At 38.3% G+C, this 27,372-nt stretch overlaps 1 protein-coding gene across 11 annotated transcripts in view; it reads left to right on the forward strand.

Annotated features, from left to right (window-relative positions):
• ADAM32 (ADAM metallopeptidase domain 32) overlaps positions 1–27,372 on the forward strand; it is a 177,389-nt gene that overhangs the window by 20,303 nt on the left and 129,714 nt on the right. For 10 of the 11 annotated variants that reach the window (NM_001313994.1, NM_145004.7, XM_011544433.3 and 7 more), the window contains 4 exon segments: positions 8,826–8,887; positions 19,299–19,374; positions 21,960–22,036; positions 23,546–23,717. In NM_001313994.1, coding sequence (NP_001300923.1) covers positions 8,826–8,887; positions 19,299–19,374; positions 21,960–22,036; positions 23,546–23,717 — 387 coding nt within the window. 11 annotated transcript variants of the gene reach the window in all.

Genomic DNA, 27,372 nt, shown 5'->3' on the forward strand with positions numbered 1-27,372 from the left:
TCTTAAAATTGTTTTAGCTGCATTCCAGAGATTCTGGTATGCTGTCTCTTTTTTCTCATTAGTTTCAAATAACTTCTTGATTTCTGCTTTGATTTGATTATTTTCACAACAGTTATTCAGGAACAGGTTGTTCAATGTCCATGTACTTGTGTGGTTTTGACTGAATTTCTTATTCTTGAGATTTCTGTAGATATCTATCAGGTCTGCTTGATCCAGAGCTGAGTTCAGGTCCCATATATCTTTGTTAATTTTCTGTTTCGATGATCTGTCTAATATTGACAGTGTGCTGTTAAAGTCTCCCACTGTTATTTTGTGGGAGTCTAAGGCTCTTTGTAGGTCTCTAAGATCTTGCTTTATTAATCTGGTTGTGCCTGTATTGGGTGCATATATGTTTAGGATAATTAGCTCTTCTTGTTGAATTGAACCCTTTAGCATTATGTAATGCCCTTCTTTGTCATTTTTTATCTTTGTTGGTTTATAGTCTGTTTTGTCAGAAACTAGGTTTGTAACCTCTGCTCTTTTCTGTTTTCTATTTGCTTGGTAAATTTTCCTCCATCCCTTCATTTTGAGCCTATGTGTCTTTGCACTTGAGATAGTCTCTTAAAGACAGCATACTGATGGGTCTTGGCTCTTTATCCAGCTTGCCAGTCTGTGTCTTTTAATTGGGACATTTAGCCCATTAACATTTAATGTTAGTATTGTTATGTGTGAATTTGATCCTGTCATCATGATGCTAGCTGGTTATTTTACAGACTTGTTTATGCAGTTGCTTCATAGTGTCACTGGTCTGTGTACTTCAGTGTTTTTGTAGTGGCTGGTAACAGGTTTTTGTTTCCATATTTAGTGCTTCCTTCAGGCATTATTCCAAGATAGGCCTGGTGGTGATGATTTCCCTCAGCATTTGCTTGTCTGGAAAGAATCGTATTTCTCCTTCAGTTATGCAGCTTAGTTTGGCCTGATATGAAATTCTATGTTGGAAATTCTTTTCTATAAGAATGTTGAATATTGGCCTCCAATATCCCTTGACTGGGAATGCTCAGTTCTTCATTCTGGGGATACTTGGTTCTTCATCTGGTAATTTTTAATGCACAGGAGGACCTTCACTTGTTTTGGTAAATTTATCATCAAGTATTTTATTATTTTTCATGCTATTGTGAACTGAAATGCTCCTTTAATTTGATTTTTCAGATTGTTTCTAGTATATGGAAATACACATACACATTGATTTTTGTTTATTAATCATGTGTCTTGCCACCTTACCTAATTTGTTCATTGGTTCTCGTTTTTTTTTGTCTTTTTTTTTTTTTTGTGGATTCTTTGGGAGTTTCTACAAACAGGATCATGCCACTGCAAATACAGCATTATCCTGTTTTATGCCTTATTTTCCTTTTCTTTCTAGATGTCTTTAGTTTGTTGAATGGAAATGGTAAGAGGGGGCATTTCTGCTTTGTTTCTATCTTGGGAGAAAGTACTCAGTCTTTTAACACTGAATTTCTTGTTAACTAGTGAGGTTTTTGTAAAGGCCTTTATCATGTTCAGGAGGTTCCCTTCTATTCCAAATTTGTCAAATTTTATTGTAAACGTTTATTGGGGTTTTTCAAATGCTTTTTCTACATTTATTGTAATGATCATGTGTTTTTCTTCCTTTAGTTTATTGATGTGGTGTACCATATGAATTAATTTTTGGATGTTAAACCATTCTTGCATTTCTGTGATAAATGGTGTATAATTCTTTTTATATGTCACTGGAATTTGTCTGCTAATATTTCAAGAGGGCTATTGGTCTATAGTTTGTTTTTTGTAATGTCTAGATTTAATTGTTGTATAATTGTATAACCACCATAATTCTGACCTCATAGACTATATTTAGAAATGTTTCTTCTCTATATTTTGAAAGAATTGTGAAGGATTAATATTATTTCCTTAAACATTTGATAGCATTCATCATTGAATTCATCTGCACCTTGGCCTTTCTTTTTGGGAAGATTTATAATTATGAGTGTAATCTTTGTTATAGGTCTATTTGGATTTTATTCAGTTTTGGTAACTTGTTTCTTTTTAGAAATTTATTAATTTTATCTAAGTTATCCAATATGTTGGCATAAAATTGTACATCACATTTCCTTTTTTTTTTTTTTTTCAAGACAATGTCTCACTCTGTCACCCAGGTTGGAGTGCAGTGGCACAGTCTTGGCTCACTGCAACCTCAGCCTCCCAGGTTCAAGTGATTCTCCTGCCTCATCCTCCCAAGTAACTGGGATTACAGGTGCCTGCTACCATGCTCACCTAATTTTTGTATTTTTAGTAGAGATGGGGTTTCACCATGTTGCCCCAGCTGGTCTTGAACTCCTGACGTCAAGTGATCTGCCTGCCTACATTTTCTTATAATACTTTAAATTTCTAAGGGACAGTAGAGAAGTACCTTTTTATTTCTTATTTTGGTAATTTCTTATTTTTCTTCGTCAGTCTAGTTAAAGGTTTGTCCATTTTGTTGATCTTTTCAAAGAATAATCTTGTTTCATTGATTTTCTTTGTTTTTTTGTTTTCATTTCATTTATTTATGGTTTAATTTTTTTTGTTATTTCTGCTTGCTTTTGGTTAGTTTGTTATCATTGTTTAAATGTCTTAAGATGGAAATTTAAGTTACTGATTTGATACCTTCCTCTTCTCTTCTTTTCTTTTCTTTCTACATAGGTACCTAAAGCCACACATTTCTCTACAAGCATTGCTTTAGCTGGATTCCATAAATTATGCTATGGTGTGTTTTTGTTTTCATTCAGTTAAAATATTTTCTAGTTGTCTTTGCAATTTTTTTGATTCATGGGTTATTTAGAAGTGTGTTTTTAAATTTTCAAATTTTTGAGGATTTCCTAGGTTTTGTCTCTTGTTGATTCTAATTTAATTCAATTGAAGCAAAAAATGTACTTTTGTGACTTCAGTTTTATTTTCTGAGACTTTTTGTGGCCTAGAATATGGTCAATCATGAAGAATATTAATTATGCACTTGAAAAGAATATGAATTCTGCAGTTGTTGGGTTAGTAGTCAGTTAGCTTGTGTTGGCTAATAGTTTCATTTATCATGCCTATAATCCCGGCATTTTGGGAGACTGAGGCAGGAGGATGTCTTTTTTTTTTTTTTTTTTGAGACAGAGTCTTGCTCTGTTGCCCAGGCTGGAGTGCAGTGGCGTGATCTCGGCTCACTGCAAGCTCCACCTCCCGGGTTCACACCATTCTCCTGCCTCAGCCTCCCAAGTAGCTGGGACTACAGGCGCCCGCCACCACGCCCAGCTAATTTTTTGTATTTTTAGTAGAGAGGGGATTTCACCGTGTTAGCCAGGATGGTCTCGATCTCCTGACCTCGTGATCTGCCCGCCTCGGCCTCCTAAAGTGCTGGGATTACAGGCGTGAGCCACCGTGCCTGGCCAGGAGGATCTCTTGAGGCCAGGAGTTTGAGACCAGCCTGGGCAACATAGTGAGATCTCATCTCTCCAAAAAATAAAACATAAAAAAATAGCCAGCCATGGTGGCACATGCCTGTAGTCTCAGCTACCTGGGAGGCTGAGGTGGGAGTATCACTTGAGTCCAGAAGGTAGAGCCTGCAGTGAGCTGAGATTGTGCCACAGCACTCCAGTCTGGGTGACAGAATGAGACTGTCAGTAGTTTCATTCAAAGATTTTTTTGTGCTTGTTGATTTTTTGTCTAGTTGTTCTCTCCATTATTGTGAGTGGAGTACTTAAGTTTCCAAATAGGATTATTGAATTGTCTATTTCTCCTTTCAGTTCTGTCAGTTGTTCTTTCATGTATTTTGAGGCTTGGTATTTAATGTGTGTGCACTTACAATTTTTATGTCTTTGGGATGCAGTGATGATTTTACTGTTGTGAAACGTCCTTCTTTCTTTCTGATAATATTTCTTGTCTTTAAGCCTATATTGTCTGATATTAGTATAACTTCTCTTTATGGTTACTATTTACAATATATATATTTCCATTATTTTATTTTCAACCTATTTGTGTATTGAATCTAAGGTGTTTCCCTTGTAGACATCATGTAATTGGAGGGTTTTTGTTTTTTATTTTTTGAGATGGAGTTTCGCTCTTGTCGCTCAGGCTGGAGTGTAGTGGCACGATCTCGGCTCACCTCAATCTCCGTCTCCCGGGTTCAAACGATTTTCCTGCCTCAGCATCCTGAGTAGTTGGGATTACAGGCATGCACCACCACGCCTGGCTAATTTTGTATTTTTAGTAGAGACAGGGTTTCTGCATGTTGGTCAGGCTGATCTCGAACTCCCGACCTCAGGTGATCCGCCCACCTTGGCCTCCCAAAGTGCTGGGATTACAGGCATGCGCCACTGCGCCTGGCCCAATCGGAGGTTATTTTTGAGATAGATAGATTGTACCAATCTATTTCTGCTTTTTGGTTTGGATTTCTAGATCATTTGCATCAAATATAGGTATTTATATGGTTGAATTTATACTCAATATTTTGCTATTTTTACTACTTATTTTCTTTGTGGTGATCCAGGTATTATAATATATCTTAACTATCATGATTTACTTTAGATTAATACTTATTTCTGGTAAAATATAGCAACTTTGCTCCAATATAATGGAATTCTTTCTTCTCTGTACTGTTCTTGTCACATTATTACATCCATATTTTTTAAACCCAACTATATATCATCATAATTATTGCTTTTTCACAATGCTATATCTTTTAAAGACATTGAAAAGAGAAATTAGAAAAACTATTAAAGTCTTTTTATGTTAACTCACACATTTACCATTTCTGCTTTTTGAGTTACCATCTGGTGTTATTTCCTATTAGCCTAAATAAATTTCTTCAGTATTTCTTGTAAGACAGGACTTTATTTCACCATTTTAAAAGCAGATTTTGCTGGATATAAAATTGTTAGTTGACAGATTTTTTTTTTTCTTTCAGCACTTTTTATGTCTTCACTGCCTTCTGGCCTACATTATTTCAAATGAACAATCTGCCACTAATTGTATTAATGCAGCTTCCTTGTATGTGATGAGTTTTTTTCTTGATATTTTCAAGATTTTCTCCTTATGTTTGACTTTCAACATATTAAATATGATGTATCTTGGTGTGTATCTTCTTGTATTTTTTTCTTCTTGAGGTTGGCTGGAATTTTAGATGTGTAGACTACTGTTTTCCTTCAAATTTTGAATGGTTTTGGCCATTATTTGTTCAAATACTTTTTTTCGGACCATGCTATTGTTGGGATGTTTGTTCTCCCAAACCTCATGTTGCAATTTGACCTCAGTGTTGGAAGTGGGGCCTCATGGGAGGTGTTTGGGTCATGATGTCCCTCATGAATGGCTTGGTGCCATCCTTATGGTAATTAGTGAATTCTTGATCTGTTAGTTGAGACCTGGCACCTCTCCCTCTCTCTTTCTTCCTCTCTCACCATGTGATCTGCTCCCCTTTACCTTCCACCATGGATGGAAGCTTCTTGAGACCCACATCAGAAGCAGATATTGTTGTCATGTGCAGAGATGTAATATCTATATGATTTCTTCAACTATAATCAACATCAGTGATGTCTGTGAGTTTCCCAGTGGATTAGGCTATGTTTGTGACTGGGGACTGTGGCGAGGCTTTACTGGGGATGGGGAAACCAGGCAAGCCAGTCTACAGTGGTGGCAGTGGCAGGTCAGGTGGATGGGGCCTTGGGCCCTGGGCAGTGTGTGACACCAGCAGTGGCAGTAGCAGTAGTGGGCCAGTCCTCAGGCTGTCTGGTGGTGCATGTGAACACCATTACGGGTGGCAGTAGGCTGGGTCAGCCAGTTCCCAGGCTCCTGGCTGGTGCATGTGGGTGGGCACTGGTCAGGGTTGTGGCAGACTAGGCGGGCCATTTTCCAGGCTCCTGGGAGGCATGCATGGGCACTGGTGCTGATAGCAGGTGGGGCTGGCCAGATATCAGATCCCCGGATAGTGCATGTAGGCACAGTGGTGTTGGGTAGCCTGAGCTTGCCCTCAGGCTCAAGGACTGCGTTTGGGTGGGCCGGTCCTCAGACTTACTGAAGGCCCATGCAACTGTGCTGTGTCCCTGCTGCTGGGAGCGCGTGAGGTTGCTGTCAGTGCTGGCAGCCCCAGGCAGGTAGCTCTCAGGTTCTGGGGAGTGCATGCTTCATCTCCCTTTGTCCAGGTGGCAGCCTTCCCAATGTGCTACATCGCCCCTTCTCTGGGGTGTAGGACATTGTGTGGGCTAGAGTGCTGGGGACCCAGCTGCCCCACTTGTTCCAGCTGGCGTTGCGCTGCTGCAGCCCTCTGGGTGGACATGGGGGGATGTCAGCAGGGCTCCAGGGCTGAGGAAATGGGGCTGTTGGGTCCCAGGTCAGGATGTAATCTGTTGGGGCTGGGCTTTCAACATGGTACTGTGCTGCCTCTGCTTGGGTATCGAAGGGTGAGTGGGACTCAGTGTGAATTCCCAGTCTGAAAGAATTCAGTCACCAGGAGTGCAGGTAGGCAGGGCCCGTGAAGGCTCAGGGGCTCTCCTGTGGCTTGTATTGCAGAGCATTCGTGGTGGGACCCTGGACTGTGGAAGATCTCTTGCTTGCTTCTTCCCTACAATGGGGACTTCCTCCTGGCTCTCAGCCAATCCTGGCCAGGCCAGCTGCTTATTTGCTTGTCTTTCCTTCTAGGCCTCAGAGGTTCCCTGTCACTTCCCTGCTGAATTCTAGTTCTCTCTCCTAGATTCTCTGTTTGACATGTGCTTATCTGCTCACTGTTTTGGTACCTCTTTGTTGAGGAGGCAAACACAAATTTACCATTATTGTTTAGTAAATTATCTCATGGCCTCCGATAATCAACTCCTCTACACTCTTTAAAGATCTACCTAAACTTCTGTATATAGTCTGCAAATAAAAGGTATTTCATGATAACTCCCATAGTGAAAGTACAGCTAAACAAAGTATTATCTGGGACACTAATAATAATTACTAAGTTTTGGGTTTGAGAAAAATATTCATCCAAGAACTGCTTGCACATCAAATCCACCTTAAAAAAAGATAAAGATGGGGCCTGGTGTGGTGGCTCAAGCCTGTAATCCTAGCACTTTGGGAGGCCGAGGTGGGCGAGTCACCTGAGGTTGGGAGTTCGAGACCAGCCTGACCAGCATGGAGGAACACCGTCTCTTCTAAAAATACAAGATTAGCCAGGCGTGGTGGCGCATGTCTGTAATTCCAGCTCCTCGGGAGGCTGAGGCAGGAGAATCACTTGAACCCGGGAGGCAGAAGTTGCGGTGAGCTGAGATGGCGCCACTGCACTCCAGCCTGAGCAACAAGAGCGAAACTCTGTCGCAAGAAAAAAACAAAAACAAAAAACGATAAAGATGCTCAAGCATCTGTGTTCAGTTATCACATTCAGATCAGGCTCACTAAGGAGCTAGTGTCACCAATGCAAATTTAAAAAGTAGGATGCCCTGCTGTTTCAGGGTTAGGGTTTTCTCTTTGGTCCTTCTGCCTTATATTTGCCATATGCCTGTTATGCTTCTTTTGTTTTCTCGATTTATGTCTGGTTTTTCTTTTTTAAAAATAAACTTCTGAAAATTTGGAATAATTTTAGATATACAGAAAAATTGCTAAAAGACTACAGAGTTCCCATATATACTGTTCACTCAGTTTCCTGTAATGTTAGCTCTTATATAGCCACATGAATACATTATATTTATTAAATACAAGAAATTAGTATTGATACATTACTAGTAAGGAAACTACTTTCTTTGGATTTCTGGATTTCAACTAGTTTGTCTTCTACTGTCCATTTTGTTCCGGGATCCAATCCAGAATACTACCCAGCATGCCCCCTCCCAGGCTCCTTTGCTCTGTTTCTCAGTCTTTCCTTGAATTTCATGACCTTGACAGTTCTGAGGAGGTCAGGTACTTTGTAGAACACCCCTCAATTTGGATTTGTCTGATATTTTCTCATGTTCAGTGAATTTTAGGGAAGATTAACATAGAGATGAGGTGCTCTCCTCATGACATCATATCATGGGGTACATGATATCAAGTTGAGTTATCACCAATAATGTTGACGATCTGGTTTCATTTCTGACCTGGAAACAAACTGCCTCATTCTTCTTTGATCTGTATGGTACCCTGGTTGCTTCTTATTTTCAGAGATCCTGGAATGCTTATCCTTTTTCTGTGTTTTGATATTTGTGTCCTTTTCATTTCTATATGTTTTAACTAATTTTTTCTCTGTTTCTCTACCTCTTGCTTTTCACGTGTTCCCTTTTGCTCTATAAAATCTCATCACTGAGGTTCACTGACCTACAGATATTCCAACCTATTGTCATCCATATTCTAACTTGAAAATAGTAGAGATAAAGTCAAAGACAATATTAAATTTTGTTCAATAATCTTCTGTTTAAAATATAGGGAACAGACAATACATCTTAGGAGGGTTTTTAAGAAAATGGTTAAATAATTTTTATGGTGGACAGAGTAAGCTTCACTGATGTAGAATATCCTCTTATCCCAATGATGCCACCTAAATAGGTATTTTAGTGTAGCACGTGACCTATTCATTCATAAGAGGTTACAGGTTAGTTACAGGTAGATTTTTAATCCTATGTAAATCCTTAGACTGGGTTTATTTGTGTGGAAATAGTAAAAACCATTATAAAATAAGTAAATATTAAATTTTTTGATGTGTTGTTGCACATTTTAAATCACATGTAGTCTGAGAAATGTAATGAAGATGTTTTAAGCATTGTTTGGACAGATTAATTGATATAAAACTGTTGTTTTGCTTCTTGTATTAAATTTGTCTTCACTCTCAGTTGTTTTGAATTCTCTAGGAACAAATATCCTATATTATTCCAATAGATGAGAAACTGTACACTGTGCACCTTAAACAAAGGTAAATTTTTATTCTTTAGTTTTGGATTTTATTTTATTTCTATGAAGCTGTTTACTTGCAATAGAAAATGGAGTATGAGAAAAATACATGGAATTATTAACTTTTTTAATTGTCTTAAGTGAAGAGATGCTGTCCTGTGACTTAATTAAATTTTGGTTTTAATGTCTCAAGTATTCTTTGGTAAATGGGAGTTAGGACAAAAAACAGGGACTTATCTCCTGAAGACTGATTTATGATATTAAGTTGGCAGGACCAGCAGGACCTATATCATCAGGGCAGATGTCACAAAAATAAGTAAATCTGTAGCTGGTTTATATCAGTTAGGGTTTTATCAGAGAAGTGGGATGACCATGAGTAATATGGGACAGGGATTTAATACAGACCTTATAGTGTTGCAGAGCTGGCGAATAGTTTATGGAAAATAGTCCTAGCTATATGCCACTCTTCAGAGAATTATTAAATAATTGAAATAATTTTCTATAGGGTTTAATTCTCTGATGCAAGCCCAGTTGGGAAAGGCTGGCTTGGAAGTAATTTGTGACATTCAAGAGGACAGCTTCAGCTAAACTAGTAAAACTAGACTACATGGCATTGGAGAGAGGTGGATTATGAGAAACTAGAGGTAGCAATTATAGACTTTTTCAAAAACATCCCTCAGAGAAAAAAGAGGCTTACATGAATATTTTTGAAGAAAGAGAAAACAAAGTATTTTGATTGATGGAAAATTTCTTAAGGAGAAGAAAAGAGAGATGAAAGATGTAAACAAGCTGGGCGCGGTGGCTTTCGTCTGTAATCCCAGCACTTAGGTATGCTGAGGCAGGTGGATCAAACTCCTGAGGTCAGGAGTTTGAGACCAGCCTGCCCAACATGGTGAAACCCTGTCTCTACTAAAAAATACAAAAATTAGCCAGGCATGGTGGCGTGCGCCTGTAATCCCAGCTACTCGGGAGGCTGAGGCAGGAGAATCGCTTGAACCTGGGAGGCAGAAGTTGCAGTGAGCCGAGATGGTGCCACTGCACGCCAGCCTGGGTGACAGAGTGAGACACTGTCTCAAAAAAAAAAAAAAAGGTGTAAACAAGTGGTTTATTGTGTGTAAGATACTAAATAATTTTCCCAAAGAAAAGGTTAACTTACTCTTTTAGGCAGAAGAGAAAAAGAATATGGTGGATGATAACGCAAAGATCTTTGTGAAGAGTATGAAGGAAAGTTAGAGAGCTCACATTGCATTTGAACATCTTACTAAGACTATAAGCAGTGTTGAGAAATTGAGAGACCAGAGCTTGGGAGAGGGATAGGGCATGTGTATATCGTTTTGAGAAATTAACTGCTTAATGATTATGATAGCCTAACGACCATTAGGAAGCTACTGCAAATAGTTTATATGAAAAATAATGAGAAGCAGAACTATGACTACATAGAGATAGGGAGTTTCCTTTTTTTGTGTGTATGTTTTTTTAGTTCTTTTTTTATTATACTTTAAGTTCTAGAGTACATGTGCACAGCGTGCAGGTTTGTTACATAGGTATACATGTGCCATGTTGGTTTGCTGCACCCATCAACTTGTCATTTACATTAGGTATTTCTCCTAAAGCTATCCCTCCCCCAGTCCCCCACCCCCCAACAGGCCCTGGTGTGTGACATCCCCTGCCCTGTGTCCATGTGTTCTCATTGTTCAACTCCGACCTATGAGTGTGAACATGCGGTGTTTGGTTTTCTGTCCTTGTGACAGTTTGCTTAGAATGATGGTTTCCAGCTTCATCCATGTCCCTGCAAAGGACATAAACTCATCCTTTTTTATGGCTGCATAGTATTCCATGGTGTATATATGCCATATTTTCTTTATCCATTCTAGCATTGATGGACTTTTGGGTTGGTTCCAAGTCTTTACTATTGTGAATAGTGCCACAATAAACATATGTGTGCATGTGTCTTTATAGTAGCATGATTTATAATCCTTTGGGTATATACCAAGTAATGGGATCGCTGGGTCAAATGGTATTTCTAGTTCTAGATCCTTGAGGAATCACCACACTGTCTTCCACAATGGTTGAACTAATTTACACACCCACCAACAGTGTAAAAGGGTTGCTATTTCTCCATATCCTCTCCAGCATCTGTTGTTTCCTGACCGCTTAAAGATTGCTGTTCTAAGTGGCGTGAGATGGTATCTCATTGTGGTTTTGATTTGCATTTCTCTGATGACCAGTGATGATGAGCATTTTTTCATATGTCTGTTGGCTGCATAAATGTCTTCTTTTGAGAATTGTCTGTTCATATCCTTTGGCCACTTTTTCATGGGGTTGTTTGCTTTTTTTCTTTTAAATTTGTTTAAGTTATTTGTAGATTCTGGATATTAGCCCTTTGTCAGATGGGTAGATTGCAAAGATTTTCTCCCATTCTGTAGGTTGCCTGTTCACTCTGATGATAGTTTCTTTTGGTGTGCAGAAGCTCTTTAGTTTAGTTAGATTCCATCTGTCTATTTTGGCTTTTGTTGCCATTGCTTTTGGTGTTGTAGTTGTGAAGTCTTTGCCTATGCCTATCTCCTGAATGGTATTGCCTAGGTTTTCTTCTAGGGTTTTTATGGTGTTAGGTCTTACATTTAAGTCTTTAATCCATCCTGAGTTAATTTTTTGTATGGTGTAAGGAAGGGATCGAGTTTCAACTTTCTATATATGGCTAGCCAGCTTTCCCAGCACCATTTATTAAATAGGGAATCCTTTCCCCATTTCTTGTTTTTGTCAGGTTTGTCAAAGATCAGATGGTTGTAGATGTGTGGTGTTATTTCTGAGGCCTCCGTTCTGTTCCATTGGTCTATATCTCTGTTTTGGTACCAGTACCATGCTATTTTGGTTACTGTAGCCTTGTAGTATAGTTTGAAGTCAGGTAGTATGATGCCTCCAGCTTTGTTCTTTTTGCTTAGGATTATCTTGGCAATGCGGGCTCTTTTTTGGTTCCATATGAACTTTAAAGTATTTTTTTCCAATTCTGTGAAGAAAGTCATTGTAGCTTGATGGGGATGGCATTGAATCTATAAATTACCTTGGGCAGTATGGCCATTTTCATGATATTGATTCTTCCTATCTATGAGCATGGAATGTTCTTCCATTTGTTTGTATCCTCTTTTATTTCATTGAGCAGTGATTTGTAGTTCTCCTTGAAGAGGTCCTTCACATCCCTTGTAAGTTGGATTCCTAGGTATTTTATTCTCTTCGTAGTAGTTGTGAATGGGAGTTCACTCATGATTTGGCTCTCTGTTTGTCTATCATTGGTATATAGGAATGCTTGTGATTTTTGCACATTGATTTTGTATCCTGAGACTTTGCTGAAGTTACTTATCAGCTTAAGGAGATTTTGGGCTGAGATGATGGGGTTTTCTAAATATATAATCACGTCATCTGCAAACAGGGACAATTTGACTTCCTCATTTCCTAATTGAATATCCTTTATTTCTTTCTCTTGCCTGATTTCCCTGGCCAGAACTTCCAACAGTATGTTGAATAGGAGTGGTGAGAGAGGGCATCCTTGTCTTGTGTGGGTTTTCAAAGGGAATGCTTCCCGTTTTGGCTGTGGGTTTGTCATAAATAGCTGTTATTATTTTGAGATACATTCCATCAATACCTGGTTTATTGAGAGTTTTTAGCATGAAGGGCTGTTGAATTTTGTCAAAGGCCTTTTCTGCATCTATTGAGATCATCGTGGTTTTTATCATTGGTTCTGTTTATGTGATGGATTACATTTATTGATTTGCATATGTCGAACCAGCCTTGCATCCCAGGGATGAAGCTGAGTTGATCGTGGTGAATAAGCTTTTTGATGTGCTGCTGGATTCAGTTTGCCAGTATTTTATTGAGGATTTTCGCATCGATGTTCATCAGGGATATTGGCCTAAAATTCTCTTTTTTGTGTGTGTCTCTACCAGGCTTTGGTATCAGGATGATGCTGGCCTCATAAAATGAGTCAGGGAGGATTCCCTCTTTTTCTATTGATTGAAATAATTTCAGAAGGAATGGTACCAGCTACTCTTTGTACCTCTGGTAGAATTTGGCTGTGAATCTGTCTGGTCCTGGACTTTTTTTGTGGGTAGGCTATTAATTATTGTCTCAATTTCAGAACCTGTTATTGGTCTATTCAGAGATTCAACTTCTTCCTGGTTTAGTCTTGGGCGGGTGCACGTGTCCAGGAATTTATCCATTTCTTCTAGATTTTCTAGTTTATTTGCATAGAATTTATCCATTTCTTCTAGATTTTCTAGTTTATTTGCATAGAGGTGTTTATAGTATTCTCTGATGTTTGTATTTCTGTGGGATTGGTGGTGATATCCCCTTTATCATTTTTTATTGCATCTATTTGATTCTTCTCTCTTTTCTTCTTTATTAGTCTTGCTAGTGGTCTATCAATTTTGTTGATCTTTTCAAAAAACCAGCTCCTGGATTCATTAATTTTTTGAAGGGATTTTGTGTCTCCATATCCATCAGTTCTGCTCTGATCTTAGTTATTTCTTGCCTTCTGCTAGCTTTTGAGTTTGTTTGTTCTTGCTTCTCTAGTTCTTTCAATTGTGATGTTAGGGTGTCAATTTTAGGTCTTTCCTGCTTTCTTTTGTGGGCATTTAGTGCTATAAATTTCCCTCTACACATTGCTTTAAATGTGTTCCAGAGATTCTGGTACATTGTGTCTTTGTTCTCATTGGTTTCAAAGAACATCTTTATTTCTCCCTTCATTTCATTATGAACCCAGTAGTCATTCAGGAGCAGATTGTTCAGTTTTCATGTAGTTGTGTGGTTTTGAGTGAGTTTCTTAATCCTGAGTTCTAATTTGATTGCACTGTGGTCTGAGAGACAGTTTGTTGTGATTTCTGTTCTTTTACATTTGCTGAGGAGTGTTTTACTACCAATGATGTGTTCAATTTTAGAATAAGTGTGATGTGGTGCTGAGAAGAATGTATATACTGTTGATTTGGGGTGGAGAGTTCTGTATATGTCTATTAGGTCCACTTGGTCCGGAGCTGAGTTCAAGTCCTGGATATCCTTGTTAACCTTCTGTCTTGTTGATCTGTCTAATATTGACAGTGGGGTGTTAAAGTCTCCCATTATTATTGTGTGGGAGTCTAAGTCTCTTTGTAGGTCTCTAAGGACTTGCTTTATGAATCTGGGTGCTCCTGTATTGGGTGCATATATATTTAGGATAGTTAGCTCTTCTTGTTGAATAGATCCCTTTACCATTATGTAGTGGCCTTCTTTGTCTCTTTTGATGTTTGTTGGTTTAAAGTCTGTTTTATCAGAGACTAGGATTGCAACCCCTTCTTTTTCTTTTTTTGTTTTCCATTTGCTTGGTAGATCTTCCTCCATCCCTTTATTTTGAGCCTATGTGCATTTTTAAGTGGCACGTGAGATGGATTTCCTGAATACAGCACACCGATGGGTCTTGACTCTTTAAATCCAATTTGCCAGTCTGTGTCTTTTAATTGGGGCATTTAGTCCATTTATATTTATGGTTAATATTGTTATGTGTGAATTTGATCCTGTCATTATGATGTTAGCTGGTTATTTTTCCCATTAATTGATGCAGTTTCTTCATGGCATTGATGGTGTTTACCATTTGGCATGTTTTTGCAGTGGTTGGTACCGGCTGTTCCTTTCCATGTTTAGTGCTTCCTTCAGGAGCTCTTTTAGGGCAGGCCTGTTGGTGACAAAATCTCTCAGCATTTGCTTGTCTGTAAAGTATTTTATTTCTCCTTCACTTATGAAGCTTAATTTGGCTGGATATGAGATTCTGGGTTGAAAATTCTTTTCTTTACGAATGTTGAATATTGGCCCCCACTCTCTTCTGGCTTGTAGGGTTTCTGCCGAGAGATCTGCTGTTAGTCTGATGGTCTTCCCTTTGTTGGTAAGCCAACCTTTCTCTCTGGCTGCCCTTAACATTTTTTCCTTCATTCCAACCTTGGTGAATCTGACAATTATGTGTCTTGGGGTTGCTCTTCCCGAGGAATATCTTTGTGGTGTTCTTTGTATTTTCTGAATTTGAATGTTGGCCTGCCTTGCTAGGTTAGGGAAGTTCTCCTGGATAATATCCTGAAGAGTGTATTCTATCTTGGTTCCATTCTCCCTGTCACTTTCCGGTACACCAATCAAACATATATTTGGTATTTTCACATAGTCCCTATATTTCTTGGAGGCTTTGTTAGTTTCTTTTCACTCTTTTTTTCTCTAATCTTGTCTTCTCACTTTATTTCATTAATTTGATCTTTAATCACTGATATTGTTTCTTCCACTTGATCGAATCGGCTATTGAAGCTTGTGCATGCATCATGAAGCTCTCGTGCCATGGTTTTCAGCTCCATCAGGTCATTTAAGTTCTTCTCTACACTGTTTATTCTAGTTAGCCATTTGTCTAACCTTTTTTCAAGGTTTTTGGCTTCCTTGTGATGGGTTACAACATGCTCCTTTAGCTTGGAGAAATTTGTTATTACCGACCTTCTGAAGCCTACTTCTGTCAACTCGTCAAACTCATTCTCCGTCCAATTTTGTTCCCTGGCTGGCGAGGAGCTGTTATTCTTTGGAGGAGAAGAGGCACTCTGTTTTTTTGGAATTTTCAGCTTTTCTGCTCTGGTTTCTCCCCATCTTTGTGGTTTTACCTACCTTTAGTCTTTGATGTTGGTGACCCACAGATGGGGTTTTGGTGTGGATGTCCTTTTTGTTTATGTTGATGCTATTCCTTTCTGTTTGTTAGTTCCTTTTAATAGTCAGACCCCTCAGCTGCAGGTCTGTTGGAGTTTGCTGTAGGTCCACTCTAGACCCTGTTTGCCTGGGTATCACCAGTGGAGGCTGCAGAACAGCCAATATTGATGCCTGATCCTTCCTCTGGAAACTTCATCCCAGAGGGGCACCTGCTTGTTTGAGGTGTCTGTCGACCCCTACTGGGAGGTGTTTCCCAGTCAGGCTACATGGGGGTCAGGGACCCACTTGAGGAGGCAGTCTGTCTATTCTTGGAGCTCAAATGCTGTGCTGAGAGAACTGCTGCTCTCTTCAGAGCTGTCAGACTGGATGTTTAAGTCTGCAGAAGCTGTCTGGTGCCTTTTGTTCTACTATGCCCTGCCCCCAGAGGTGGAATCTATAAAGGTAGTAGGCCTCGCTGAGCTGTGGTGGGGTCTGCCCAGTTCGTGCTTCCTGGCCACTTTGTTTACACTGTAGGCTATTCAAGCCTCAGTAATGGCAGATGACCCTTCCCCCAATTAAGCTGCAGTGTTGCAGGGCAATCTCAGACTGCTGCACTAGCAGTGAGAAAGGCTCCATGGGCATGGGACCTGCTGAGGCAGACACAGGAGGGTATCTCCTGGTCTGCTGATTGCTAAGACTGTGGGAAAAGTGCAGTATTTGGTCAGGAGTGTACTGTTTCTCCAGGTACAGTCTGTCACAGCTTCCCTTGGCTAGGAAAGGTAAATCCCCTGACCCCTTGAGCTTCCCGGGTGAGACAACACCCTGTCCTGGTTCAGCTTTCCCTCCGTGGGCTGTACCCACTGTTGATCCAGTCCCAGTGAGATGAACCAGGTACCTCAGTTGGAAATGCAGAAATCACTGCTCTTTTGTGTTGATCTTGCTAGGAGCTGCAGACCAGAGCTGTTCCTATTCAGCCATCTTGGAAGCAAGCCTCCCTTTTCCTGTTTTTGAGAAATGCTGATGTGGCAGAAAAAAGATGTAGTAACAGATTGACTATAGTGGTGGCAGGGATTTGGTAGGGTAGAGGGAGGATGAGAACAGACCTGAGTCAGGTATTATGGCTCCCTGTTGGAGATGCTGGGTATGAAGTGCTTGTGGGATATCCCACAGGGGGAAATATCCTGATGGCAGTTAATTTAGTTTAGAATGGGGGAGAGAAGTGTGAGTATCCACATTCTTTCATGATGTAAACTCTCTGCAAATTAGGCCTAGAAGAGATATACCTTAACACAAAAATGTCATATATGACAAAGCCATAGCTAACATCATACTCAGTGGTAAAAAGTTGAAAGTTTTTCATCTAATATCAGGAACAAGATTAGGATGCCTATTTTCCTTCACCTCTTCTATTCAACATAGTATTGGAAGTCCTAGCCACAGCAATTAGGCAAGAACAATGAATAAAAGGCATCCTAATGGGAAAGAGAAATGTTAAATTGTTCCTGTTGCAGGTGACATGATCTTATATGTAGATTACTTATAGAAGACCCTAAAGACTCCACCAAAATTTGTTAGAACCAATAGACAAGTTCAGTGAAGTTGTGGGATATAAAATCAACATACAAAAATCATAGCATTTCTATACATTAATAAGAAATTTTCCAAAAATGAAATCAAGAAAACAACCCCATGTACAATAGCTACAAAAAATAAAATACTTAGGAGTAAGTTAACCAAGGAGGTGAAAGATCTGTATACTGAGAGCTAGAAAACATGATGAAAGGAATTGAGGAAGACACAAATATATGGAAAGAACATGGATTGGAAGAGTTAATATTGTTAAAATGTCCATACTGTCCAAATTGATACACAAATTCAACGCAATCCCTACCAAAATTCCAATGACATTTTTCACAGAAATAGTAAATTCCTATGGAACCCCAAAAGGCCCTGAATAGCCAAGGCACTACTGAACAAAAAGAACAAAGCTGGAGGCATCACACTACCTGAATTCAAATATATTGCAAAGCTATAATACTAAAAGCAACCTTTTTATATAAGTAGTAAATTAAACCACAGAAATGAACAAGATAAATCTATACAGGTGGGGGTGAATGTTAAAAGTAAGAAAGAGAAACAGCCTAGAATTGAATGCCATGGAAACATTTAAGGGATGAAGGAAGGATCCAAATAAAGGGACTTAGAAACGTAGAAAGACAGGAGAACCAGGAGGAAGTGGTATCTATCATTATCACTGAAGAAGAGATGGTTTCAAGAAGGGGAATGTGGTCCACAGTATGAAGTACTTGAGAGTATTTTATTTATTTATTTTTTTGTTTAATGTATTTTAAAATTATTTTTATTATTTATTTATTTTTGAGACAGGGTCTCTCTCTGTCACCCAGGTTGGAAAGCAGTGGTGGCATCTCAGCTCACTGCAGCCTTGAACTCCTGGCTCAAGTGATCCTGTTGCCTCAGCCTCCCAAGTAGCTGGGACCACATGAGCAGACCACCACACCTGGCTAATTTTGGTATTTTTGGTAGAGATGAGGTTTCGCCTTGTTACCCAGGCTGGTCTCGAACTCCTGAGCCCAAAGCAATCCCTCCACCTCGGCCTCCCTAAGTTTTGGGATTACAGGAGTGAGCCACCCCGCCTGGCTGCTTCAGAGTATTTTTACTTGACATAATACTGTCTTTTGGATTGGACACTCAGGAGGTCATTAGTAATTTTTGTGAGATCAGTTTGAGTGGAGGCTTTCCAACAGAAGCTAGTGTGAGTGGCCTAATTAAGTGACGGTGGGTTGAAGAGTGAACATGAAGTGAGGAAGCATAACTAAAATAGCATCATGAGTACAGGGATTAATACCAAAGTTGAACTTAGACTGGACGTTTCAGTACATATGCTCAGATGAATATGACCTTTATGCAATACTCTTCCACTTCATTATCAAAGTAATATATGTGCATAGTAATAAAGCTTTAGAAAGAATGTAAGAACAGAAAACTCTTACAATCCAACATCCAGTTTATGTCTATTAAATTTTTTTTTTTTTTTTTGAGACGGAATCTTGCTCTGTCACCCAGGCTGGATTGCAGTGGTGTGATCTCAGCTCACTGCAACCTCTGCCTCTTGGGTTCAAGCAATTCTCCCACCTCAGCCTCCTGAGTAGCTAGGATTATAGGCACCTGCCACCACACCCGACTAATTTTTGTATTTTTAGTAGAGACGGGGTTTCACCATGTTGGCCAGGCTGGTCTCAAACTCCTGACCTCAGGTGATCTGCCCACCTTGGCCTCCCAAAGTGTTGGGATTACAGGTGTGAGCCACCACGTCCAGCCTCTTTTACATTTTAGAATGCTCTTCTTTTAGTCTCTTCTTTTTTTCTTAAAAGGAGTCCATTAAGGTAGGAAAACTATTTTGAGTAAACGTATATTGCTTTAAGTAAACATTAAATATATGTCAAAAGAAAATACTACCTTTATATCAGGTTGACAGACGTTTTCTCTAAAGATTCAGATAGTAAATGTTTTAGACTTTGAAGGCCATATGTTCTTTGTCAAAACTAGTTAATCTCTCATCTTACAGCATGAAAAGAGCCATGACAATATGTGGGTGAATGGGTATGGCTGTGTTTCAATAAACCTTTATTTACAAAACAGAGGGTGGGTCAGATTTTGGCTGAGAGTGTTAAGTTTACTATGTTTTTATATGTTTCAAAAAGAATAATTAAAAAAATTTCCTCTTTTTTTATATTCAGATATTTTTTAGCAGATAATTTTATGATCTATTTGTACAATCAAGGATCTATGAATACTTATTCTTCAGATATTCAGGTAAGATTTAAATTCTGTGTTTTATAGTTTTTTTTAAATTTTTTTACATTAAATAAATGCTTTATTATACAGAAGGCTCTCAAGATTCACAGGGGATATATTTAAGACATTTGTTGATTAATGATCAGGGTTTCCTGAAGTTTTGGTAAAGACAAATTAGATTGACTTAGCACCTTTCCCATTGCTGAGAACATAGTCACTATTTTTTAATTTAATTGATATTTTGTTAAATAAAATATTTATTATTTATATTTTGTTTGTAAGAATATAAATTAAATAACAAGAAAAGTGGACATGAATGTTATGAGACACAAATCACAGATCAAAAACTCTTTGTTTTTTTCTTAACTCTTCCTCATCTCATCCATTATTTATACATCCATAAATCCTACTGACCCTGCCCTTCAAACTAAGTGTCCAGCATCCACCTTCTTCCTCTGCCTTCACCCACTGAGACCACCCATTTCCAAGTAAACATCATCTCTAGTTTGGATCATTGCCATAACTTCCTGAATAATCTCCCTGCTTCCTCACCTGTCCATCCCTTCATTTTATTTATTTATCCCTTTATTTTATTCATTTATTTTTGTTTTTATTTATTTATTTTGCCCAGGCTAGAGTGCAATGGTGCGATCTTGGCTCACTGAAACCTCCACCTCCTGGGTTCAAGTGATTCTCCTGCCTCAGCCTCCCGAGTATTTGGGATTACAGGCATGCACCACCATGCCCAGCTAATTTTCTATCTAAACCCTATCAAGAGATAGGGTTTCACCATGTTGGCCAGGCTTGTCTCGAACCCCTGACCTCAGGTGATCCACCTGCCTTGGCCTCCCACAGTGCTAGGATTACAGGTGTGAGCCACCGCACCCAGCCTCAGTCAGTTCTCAACATGGTGACCATATTGATCCTGTTAAGACATAGTCAGATTACCCTGCTTCTCTGCTCAGAACCCTGCATGAATGGCTTCCCACCACTTACAGAGTGAAAGCCAGAGTCACCTGGTTCCCTTTTACCTCTCTGACCTCATTTCCTATTATTCTCTACCTCATTCACTTTGTTCCAGCATTGTTGTTCTTCAAATATAATAGCTATGTTCTCCTTTCAAAGACTTCATACTTTCTATTTCCTGGTATCCAAATGCTTGTTCTTTCCCAACAGACCCATATGTTTTTCATCCTCATTTCCTTCAGGTCTTTACTCAAAATCACCCTATTAGTCGTTGACTAACCCCTACTTTAAATTGGTCTCTTACTCTTAATACTCTATTTCCTTTACCTTTTTTTTTTTTGCCTTTTTCCCATGGCAGTTATCAATACATGATGTATCATATATATTCTATTTATTTACTTTATTTTCTGTCTCCCCAGTGCAATATAATCATCCCGAGGGCAGGGCTTTTGGTCTGTTTTATTTACTGATGTAACACCAGTGCCTAGAAAAGTGCCTAGCACATACTTGGAATATAATAAAAATTTGCTGAAATATTAAATTAGATATGTTGCTTCACTTACATTGGATGGGATCATCATTTTGCTTTATTGCTCCCTTTTCCTTCCCTTAGTTCCATCATAAAGCAGTGTGTTAATAAGAAATCTTAACCTTATTTATAATAAAATTTATAGCACCATTGAATATTGGAAATTATATAATTTTCACATCTGTGACAATGTTTGTGACTCTGTGTGTCTCTAGCTTGATTGTACTGTGCTCAGAGACCAACTCTATACAATTTAATTCCTTTGTAATCTATTGAGTCCTGCTTTATGGCCTGGAGTATGGTTTCTATTTTGTAGATGTTCCATGAGTGTTTAGAAAGCATATATTCTAAAGTTTTTAGGTATAGTATTTTGCATATGTTAACTAGGTCATACTAACCACGTTGTCCAAACCTTCTGTAGATTCTGAACACTTGATCTATCAGTCACTAAGAGAAATTAACTTTAAAAAACTTTTTTATAACTGTAGATTTTTTAATTTTTACTATTCTTTCAATTGTGACTTTATATATTTTGAAGCTGTGTTATTAAGTGAATGCCAATTTGGAATATTTATGTCTTCCTGGCAAATTGAAATGCTTATCATTACCAAATGTCCCTGTTTATCTCTAGTAATGTTTCTGGCCTTAAAGTCCACATTTCCTCTCTTAGTGCAAATTCAGCATCATCCTTTTGGTTTGTGTTGGCATCTAGCCCTTCAATCTTCCTGTGTCATTGCATTTTTATGACTCTTTTTTAGCATCATATTAATTGAGTTTTTAAAGAAATCCAGATTCATCATCTTTGTCTTTTAATTGAGGATCTAAATTTATGTACTGGAAGATATTTTTACCTAAAACATGAGACAACATTTTGGAAGCAGGGTGTAAAATAGTAATCTCAAGTCATAATCTATTATAAAGTGTAGTTAACATAGTGTAAGTGGCAATTATGGGGAGAATTTTTTTCTGAATTTCACCTTACTTGTACTGATATAAATCACGGAGCCTGTGAAAAATATTCAGAAGGTTCTATCAAGTATAGAAGTAGGAAATCACTAGAAAGTTTTGTTACTTCCTAAGTGACTACTTTACTTTTTTTCTTTCCTAGACTCAATGCTACTATCAAGGAAATATTGAAGGATATCCAGATTCCATGGTCACACTCAGCACGTGCTCTGGACTAAGGTTGTTTTCTGTTGTTGATTACAGAACACCTTAGTTATGATATTTGGCTGCAGTGAATTTGTTCTCTTTGTATTAAGTGTGGGGTTGAAGGAGCTTTCCTATGTGGAGATTATTTAATGATATCCCCCTCTGAACATGTTTCCAATTCTCTTATTTCTCCTCACTTTCCTCAGTGACCAGAGACATTTCTAACCTTTTCAAAGGTTTAGATTTCCTAGTCTCCTTGCTCTATGTCTTACGTTTCCTTAACCACAGAAAAGACAATTGAACATGTTTGACTACAAGTGTTTTAGGAGCTAAGTTTAGGACAGCTCAGTCACTGTCTTGGAAAACAGGGAAATTAATCACTGTAATGCTGTATACTTGCACACTTAGCAATTGATTAGGTAATTTCTGCTGCTTTTGTAACTATAAAAAAGTGAAATGGAGAGCTGGTTTTGTAGATTAGGGTAATCTTTTATCTTCTCAGAGTCATCTCTAAGACAGGTTTGAGTCAAAATACTGGACTGAAAATGTATTTATGTTACCCACCATGTGTTTTAATGTTGGAGATATGAAGATAAAGAAGAGATGCTTTTTCTCAAGGAAATCATCTTCAGACTGAGGAGGCAAATTATATAAAAACAAATAATTTTTAATACTCATAAAAATACTCATTTTTCTGATGATATTATTATCTTGAGCTCTTCAAGAATTACTGGGTTTCCTCCTTACGGCTTAGGGAGTTTTCCATTCTGTCAGGAAATTTTCCACCTTCATTTTGTAGTGTAGGGTGTTTGTTTTCACAAACAAATGTTCTTCTTCAGTGCTTCCTACATAGAAGCCTGAAATTTGGATCTGAAATTTATATTTTAGGGAGTAGTGACTTGGGCTGCCACCTGTATTCACAGAAAAATAGTGATACAAGTCATTTACTCTTTAAAATCTTGCTTTTAATTTCTTATTCAGACTATATAAGCAAAAGTAACAAATATTTCATAATTCTGCCAAATTTTATTTTTAAAAGTAAAGTTTCTTATTATATACATTTGTCATATATGCAGTATAATCATTTTTCAAAAGCATGGCATATTTCATAATTCTGCCAAATTTTATTTTTAAAAGTAAAGTTTCTTATTATATACATTTGTCATATATGCAGTATAATCATTTTTCAAAAGCATGGCAAACCAGAGAGAAAGTCATCATGATTTCTGTTTACAATTGCTTTAATTGAGACACTGACTTGGAAAACAATAGAATTACTCAATTACTGTTATGCTATATACTTGTGTACCTAGCAATTGATTAAGTGACTTCTGCTGCTCTTACAACTATACAAAAACGAAATAGAAAATGGGTTTTGTGGATTTGGGAAATCTTTTGTCTCTTCAGAGTCATCTCTAAGACAGAATTCAGAAAAAAATACTGGACTCAAAACGTTTTATTTTTTTTTCTTTTGGATTTTGTCAGAAATTCATTATATAGATTTGATTAAAAGCACTTAAAATTGTATTCATAATTTCACAGAGGAATACTGCAATTTGAAAATGTTTCTTATGGAATTGAGCCTCTGGAATCTGCAGTTGAATTTCAGCATGTTCTTTACAAATTAAAGAATGAAGACAATGATATTGCAATTTTTATTGACAGAAGCCTGAAAGAACAACCAATGGATGACAACATTTTTATAAGTGAAAAAGTGAGTTGTATATGTTTTATTACTACTTTTAAAGCAGTTATTACTTCCATTTAATTTATTTAAAAAATAAATTTATAAGCCCACTGTAGAATTGTAGCAAATATCCTTTCCTTGTGAACATCTTATCTTTTTTTTTTTTTTTTCTCACTCTCTCACTCAGGTTGGAGTGCAGTGGACTGATCATGGCTTGCTGCAGCCTCTGTCTTCTGGGCTCAAGCAATCCTCCCACCTCAATCTCCTGAGTAGCTGGGACCACAGACATGCACCACCATACCAGACTAATTTTTTGTAGAGACAGAGTCTCTACAAAAAAGAGACAGACCATGCTGGTCTCAAACTCCTAGGTTCAAATGATCCACCCGCCTCAATCTCCCAAAATGTTGAGATTACAGGCATGAGCCACCGTGCCTGGCTGTTCATCTTTCTGTTACCTAACAATTTCCTTGAAACCATACTTTTTATGATTCACTTTATTTTTGTTCTTATTTTGCTTGTTACATTCTTATTACTTTCCAAAAATTCCCTCTTGTATATGCAATATAAACTTTAAAAACTCAGTTCCTGCTTTTGCTCCTACATTCCTGGAAGTTACTCAATAAAGTCAATAATTTTAAAGGTTATATTCATGACCAACGAGTCAGCATTAATTAAATCATAGATATAATTAAAATGTCATAAACAGAATTGCCGGTTATGGTCATGTAAATTGTTCAGTGAACACACTATGTAACTGCATGTGTTGGTGCTTACACAAGCAATTGTGAAAGAGAAAATTTTTATACCAAGTAACATTGGCATAACTATGCATAGTTTATACAAGAGTATGTGGCAGTATTCATTGTTTCCAGTATATGCTCTCCCTGTTTTCTGTCAGTAAAGAAAAAAATACCAGGCCAGGCATGGTGGCTCACACCTGTAATCCCAGCACTTTGGGAGCCCAAGTTGGGTGGATCTCCTGAGGTCAGGAGTTCAAGACCAGCCTTGCCAACATGGTGAAACCCCGTCTCCACTAAAAATACAAAGATTAGTCAGGCATGGTGGCAGACGCCTGTAATCCCAGCTACTCGGGAGCGGAGGCTGAAGAATTGTTTGAACCTGGGAGGTGGAGGTTGCAGTGAGCTGAGATCACACCACTGCACTCCAGCCTGGGTGACAGGGCAAGACTCCATCTCAAAAAAAAAAAAAAAAAAAAAAAAAAAAAGAAAGAAAAAAGAAAAAAACACCAAACCTCAGAATTTAGCTGGGCATATAAACAAAGACAATATTTCTCAACCTCCCTTACCTCTAGGTAGGGCCATGTGACAAAATTATGGCCAATGACGTGTGAGCAAGCATAATATGTGTTACTTCTGGCTTGAATATTAAAAGGAGGGGTTTTATCTTCTTTCCCTTTTCTGCTGGGTGGAGTGTGGACATACTGACATGTAATGGTCCACAAGGATGAGGCTGACGCCATACAGGTAGCAGAGAAACAAGGTAAAATGAGCCTTGCTTTTGAAGAATTTTCAGAATGGAACTACCATACCTCTTCACAAATTTATGTGAGAGAGAAATAGACTCTAAGTTTGCTTAATTCACTATTATTTTCTGTCTCTGTGTAGACGGCAATCCTATATCTTAAATAATACAGGGTCCAAATGAGAGTGCAGTGCCAGAGTTTTCAATGCTAGCAAATATATATGTATAATTTCAAATAATGTTTGTGAACTAGATGCTGAACTTTTTTTTCTTGCCTTGTGAAAATTTCTAATTTACAATGACTGAGATGACCCAGTGTAGCGAACAATGTCAGTGCCCTGCCCAGAACCCCTCATATTCCTTTCTAGTATATTTTTGTGGGGATGATGCAGGAGGGTGGGACACCATGTCTTTGTTTATGCCTTTGCTTTGAACATGTGCCACTTGTAACTCTTTTTTATGTGGGCTGCCCTTCAGCCAACTGAAACTGCTTTGCCCAGATGGCAAGGTAAACATAAGTACTGGAGATTTACATTTCCCCAGGGTGGTCCTTAGCCAGCACCTCACCAGTGTGGGAAAGGGTGAGTTTGGTTTCTTGTTACAGGTCAGGACAACTCTGTAGCACAACTTACACACCAGATTTTCTCTGTGGGACTGTGTCTGAGAGCACACTCTTGTGTGGATTCCTCCTGATCCTAATCCTGCTTCTCCCACTCATTAGCTGGTCTCTCCTGGGAGAACTTTATTAGTAAATTATCTACATATAAATCCTGTCTCAGATTTGTCTTTGGGTTTCCTTTGAAAATCAGGAAGTTTTCACATACTTATTTTACAATGAAGTGATAATTACTACAATAAAGTTATTTGAGCACATATGTCAGCCAAATTGCATTTGTATGTATCATTTGGAAAGTGGCATGATCTGGAAAGCTGGGAAGCTCTGGATCCCCACAGATATCATCGTTTGTCTGGACAAGTGTTGGAGGAAAGAAAAACAGCCAAGTAAAAGACAAACAGAAAGTTCCTCATATATATATATATATGTAATTATACTTTAAGTTCTGGGGTACATGTGCAGAACGTGCAGGTTTGTTACATAGGTACACACGTGCCATGGTGGTTTGCTGCACCTATCAACCCGTCATCTACATTAGGTATTTCTTCTAGTGCTATCCCTCCCCTACCCCCCATCTCCCCGACAGGCCCCAGTGTGTGATGTTCCCCTCCCTGTGTCCATGTGTTCTCATTGTTCATCTCCCACTTATGAATGAGAACATGTGGTGTGTGGTTTTCTGTTCTTGTGTTAGTTTGCTGAGAATGATGGTTTCCAGCTTTATCCATGTCCCTGCAAAGGACATGAACTCATCCTTTTTTATGGCTGTATAGTATTCCATGGTGTATGTGTGCCACATTTTCTTTATCCAGTCTATCATTGATGGGCATTTGGGTTGGTTCCAAGTCTTTGCTATTGTGAACAGTGCAGCAATAAACATATGTGTGCATGTGTCTTTACAGTAGAATGATTTATAATCCTTTGGGTATATACCCAGGAATGGGATTGCTGGGTCAAATGGTATTTTTGGTTCTAGATCCTTGAGGAATTGCCACACTGTCTTTCACAATGGTTGAACTAATTTACACTCCCACCAACAGTGTAAAAGCATTCCTATTTCTCCACATCCTTTCTAGCATCTGTTGTTTCCTGACTTTTTAATGATTGCCATTCTAACTGGCATGAGATGGTATCTCATTGTGGTTTTGATTTGCATTTCTCTTAATGACCAGGGATGATGAGCTTTTTTTTTCATATGTTTGTTGGTTGCATAAATGTCTTCTTTTGAGAAGTGTCTGTTCAAACCCTTCACCCACTTTTTGATGGTTTTTTTTTTCTCATAAATTTGTTTAAGTTCTTTGTAGATTCTGGATATTAGTCCTTTGTCAGATGGGTAGATTGCAAAAATTTTCTCCCATTCTGATTATCTCAATAGATGCAGAAAAGGCCTTTGATAAAATTCAACACTCCTTCATGCTAAAAGCGCTCAATAAACTAGGTATTGATTGAACGTATCTCAAAATAATAAGAGCTATTTATGACAAATCCACAGGCAATATCATACTGAATGGGCAAAAACTGGAAGCATTCTCTTTGAAAACTGACACAAGACAAAGATGCCCTCTGGCATCACTCCTATTCAAC

Source organism: Homo sapiens, chromosome 8 (assembly GCF_000001405.40).
Source record: "Homo sapiens chromosome 8, GRCh38.p14 Primary Assembly".
Lineage (NCBI taxonomy): Eukaryota > Metazoa > Chordata > Mammalia > Primates > Hominidae > Homo > Homo sapiens.